This window comes from Homo sapiens, chromosome 6, assembly GCF_000001405.40.
Source record: "Homo sapiens chromosome 6, GRCh38.p14 Primary Assembly".
NCBI classification, from domain to species: Eukaryota; Metazoa; Chordata; class Mammalia; order Primates; family Hominidae; genus Homo; species Homo sapiens.
Genome location: NC_000006.12, coordinates 137,902,063 through 137,906,540, shown reverse-complemented (window position 1 = coordinate 137,906,540; position 4,478 = coordinate 137,902,063). Strand labels below are relative to the sequence as shown.

The window sequence follows — 4,478 nt, the reverse complement described above, 5'->3', positions numbered from 1 at the left end:
GGGATAAATGCCTATGTGGTAAAACTAAAAAGAAAAATGAAGAAATAATAAACCCAGTTTTTTTCTCAAGAAGCCTACTTTCTAACTGGGGAGGTGGCTCACTCACATGCACTAAACCATGTCTCTGGATTGGGGAAGATGAATAGATTGGGAGAAAGGTACACAAGGCTTCAAAGGTGTTGCTAATGTCTGATTTCTTAAGCTCAGTGGTGGGTATGCAAGTATCCATTTTATTATTATTCTTAGGCCTTATACTTAGGTTATAAATATGCTTTTTGTATTATTTATTTACAGTTTTTCGTTACTGAACAGAAACATTCAAAATGAGGGAAAACTTTATTAGAACCAGTTTGAGCAGTCTACACATTTCTCTTAGAGACACCATAGGATGGGTTTTTGAGATAGAGAGTTAGGATTTTTAAACATGACTGTGCACATTTCTGAGACCCAGTTTTCTTGTTTGTCAAATGGGGATAATACTTAACACATAATGTATTGTTAGGATGAAATTTGATCATATATATTTTTATAAACCCTAGCTTATGGACTGTCATATATTAAGTATGTAATATATACAGGTCATTGTTATTATTATTAAAATATAATATTACAGTAGTGAAGAGTTCTTTAAAAATAAACAGAAATAGAAATTACAGTTGGTCTTTTGAAATGAAACATACTGAGGTTATATTAAATGAATGCTGCATTATTTATAATATTGCTCTCGAATGTGAGGAGTATGTATGTGAGGAGTATGTTTTATTCGAAGGACTAAAAATAACTGCTGTACATCATCTAAACTTTCTCACATTTTGCATGGGACATTTACACATAATGTGTATTTTGTCCATCACATCAGGCTTGATTACTAACAATTACTACGGGTCTTCAGAGAACCGGCATTGAAGATCATTCCTATTAATGTTCACCTCCCATCAAAAGAAGATTAAGGAGAAAAGTAAGATAAAGTTCAAAGAGGAGATTTAAGGTGACAGGTCTGAGCAGACATGGCCAAGAAGTGACACTTCAAATTACCCAAGGACCTAGAGACAGGCAGAGACCTTTGAAGGTCAGGGTTTTATATGGGCTCACCATCTGGATGACTTCATTTAATGAAATTGTATCAAAGCGAGCGGGTTTTACAACCCCAGAGAGGTGGGCTTGGGGTAGCTTCCACTGAAAAGTCAAATTACTTCACAGAAAAACAAAACAAAACCAAAGGTTATGTTGCTAAAACTTTTGAACCAAAAGGAGAAGACAGAATTTCCTCCAATCACAAGGAACCAAGAAAAATATCACATTTCCTGGCTGCCCACTCAATTTACCACCCCCCGCCCAGTCCCCTTTAGTAACAGAGAAAGAAATCACAGTAGTGAATTAATAAAGCAGTGAGCCAGACTTTCCTTCCTCGTGTGATTCAGCCCCGCAGTTGGGGTGGCGGGGGGGCGGGTAGGGAGCGAGTTCTTTAACACTGAGCGCTCTGGACTGGCTTTCAATATTAGACATCCGGAGTTTTTGAAAATTAACACTGGAACAAAAGTGACTATCATACTCCATGTCCCCTTCACCCGCCCTCAGTCACAACTTTATTTTAAGGTTTCTTTGAGGCTGATTAAAAAAAAAAAAAAAAAACAACCTAATGGGAAACACTATCTAGAAATGGAGAAATCAAACCAATACTAAAGCATGTTGTAGCAATTGCCACCACCTATGATTGATTTTATTATAGGAAAAATGTGTTTTACCATAAATGACACTCCTTAAACTCGGTAACCAGCCTCCTTCCTCTCTCTTTCCAGCATATCTAGTTAATCATACATGACTGCAGCAAGGTGATGCAATAGTTTCAATGTAACTGCCTTATCTAGGCATGCAATGAGAAGACCTGTGTGGTTGAGGAGATGCAGACACTCACAGCGTGGCCCCTTGGGCATAAGAATAGTGGTGAGAGTTTTTCCACTGAGTCTTGCAGGGGTATTTGTGGCACCTGTACCTTCTGGAAGGTGCCCCCAAAACCCGGAGATCAGATAGGACTCCAGGGCACTGTGCTGACTTTCTTGCCCTGTGCTTACATTTCTGAGACAAGGATCTAAGAATAAATTCAATTTCCAGTCCCCTCACTTGCTTTGTGAGTTTTCAAAACCCGAAAAGGCCTACCTAAAACAGCATGCACATCCAGAGGTACTCCTGTTAACCGCTAGTGGCATTGACGACTATGAGATGCCCCATTGGCAAGGAGATGCCCCCTCGTTTTTGAGTCCCCCACTGACATTCTCAGGATGATGTCTGTTGGAGACACACTTCTAGCAGGTAAAATTCACACTAACAGGCAGGGTGAACTCTTCCAGACCACCAGAGAAAAAGCAACACTTCATGCTAAAACTTGGACAATACAAGTGTAAAAATACTACCTGGGGCCAGGTGCGGTGGCTCATGCCAACAATTTGGGAGGCCGAGGCGGGCCAATTTCTTGAACTCAGGAGTTCAAGACCAGCCTGGGCTACATGGTGAAAATATCGATAGATAGATAGATGATAGATAGATAGATAAAAAAAAATTTTAAAGCCAACTACCGGGGGTGGTTGTCTCTCCCAGCTGAGAATGAAGGAATCCTCCAAGCACAACTCTCTGTGGAATTCACCATTATCATTCTCTAGCACATGATAGAGCATTCTAGAAAGTGCCCCAAAGCTGCTTTCTCACCCAGGAATAATGAGCCTCAGATGTGAGCTGGGGCTAAAAGGTACCTGGACAACTGCCCTCCTCTGAGGAGGAGAGGTTGGGCCTTGGTGCCCAGAGCAGTGGTGAGTAGTCATCTTATCTCCTTTTACTTCCTCTGTGAAGCCTCTGCACTGGATTTTGACATCACAGATCAATATGATCCTATCCACTATATGCAATTCACAGAAGAACTGTGTAAAATACTTGAATAGAGATTCTGACTTCTAGTTACAAGTTGTTCTCACTGTTAAAAAGGAAAATTGGCCTCGGTCGTTTCTTAACAATGCTACCATTTACTTCAAGAAGAAAATTGTGGGCTTTAACCTTTGCGCATTTGATTCTTCCGCACGGCCTTCCAAGGAACTAGGGTAAATGGACAAATAGTTCTTATAATTTAATACCGCTGTTTAAAAATAGATACTGTACTGAATTTTTTGCTAATTATATTAATAACTTCAAAGCCTTTTATGGAGGATGCTTGCTGGAAACAGAAGGTATTTTTATTTCACTGAAAAACGTGATGAGATTTGGGTTTAGGATTTTGGAGGGAGGACCTGGAGTGTAGTGTAGTTGTTCAACGCATTTGTCAATATGTTCTTTTAGGATATCATATTTGGTCTTGTTTAAGGAATTCTTTTCTATTCTCAAGTCAGAAAACTATTTACCCATATATATTCCTCTCATAAAGTTTTGTTTTTGACATATAAATTCCTTACTCTGTCTGTAATTGATTTTTAAGCAGACTAGGAGCTAGGAATCCAAATTCAATTTTATCTATATTTATAATCAGTTTTCCAACTGTACTTTTTAAAGATTCCTTCCTTTCTCTACTGCTCAACTATGTCACCCCCATCATGTGACAAATTTCCATGTATAAATGTGTCATATGAAGTGATAGTCTCACTGGTGAGCAAGGAAATCCAAGTCAAGACTGTTGAGATGTCATCTACACCCTGTTAACTGGCCTCTCCATTCTATTCCACTGAAAATTTGTCTGTTCTTATGCCAGTACGAAACTATTATTTATGATAAATTGTTCTTGTAGGATGAAGACAGCTAGCTCTTAGTGTATTATCTTTCTAAACACAGTTAGACTTGGTTTTCCAAGAGTTTGTTTCTTTTATGTTGAAAAAAAAAAACTTGATGGTTGATTTGGGCCTGTATATATACATCGATGGCCTAGTTTGGCTTGTAATTTTCCTTTCTTATTCCATTCTTGTCTAATTTTGATAGCGAGGTCATATTGAATTCATAGAATGAGCTGTGGAGTATTCCTTCTTTCTCTGTGAATTGTAGAGATACTATAAGAGATAGGTTTGCAGAAAATCTTTTAAAAAAGATTATAAAAGTAATGTAAACTTATTGTCAGGAATTGTAAAAACACCCGATATTACAAAGAACAAAACAGAAGTAATTTATAGGCATTACCATCCAGAAATTATTGTTAAATATATTTTGGTATATTTCCTTCTACAACTTTTTATCAGTCTCTGCAAGATATGTCCAATTTTCTCTTTATCTATATCTGTATACAAGTAATATGCACACAAAGAATTCTGACCATAGTAGCATATACTATTTACCAACTCTTTGATTACTTCATTAGAATTTCCCATGCCATTAAATATTCTTTAAAAACAGAAATTTTAGTACCTATTAAGCTGATTATTAAAACAAATCCAAATTAAACTCCCTTTGCCTCCCAAATAAAAATATTAATTTTTTAGGTGAATAGTTAATATTTAAAAACTCAGTGA

General features: G+C 37.4%; 2 annotated features.

The window, feature by feature from the left end:
* Positions 1,112-1,201: an enhancer, noted in NCBI's record as "active region_25156". NCBI's record gives its function as "activates an Ori minimal core promoter by ATAC-STARR-seq in GM12878 lymphoblastoid cells {active_cell/tissue: GM12878}" and the evidence as "EXISTENCE:reporter gene assay evidence [ECO:0000049][PMID:35858748]".
* Positions 1,382-1,431: an enhancer, noted in NCBI's record as "active region_25155". NCBI's record gives its function as "activates an Ori minimal core promoter by ATAC-STARR-seq in GM12878 lymphoblastoid cells {active_cell/tissue: GM12878}" and the evidence as "EXISTENCE:reporter gene assay evidence [ECO:0000049][PMID:35858748]".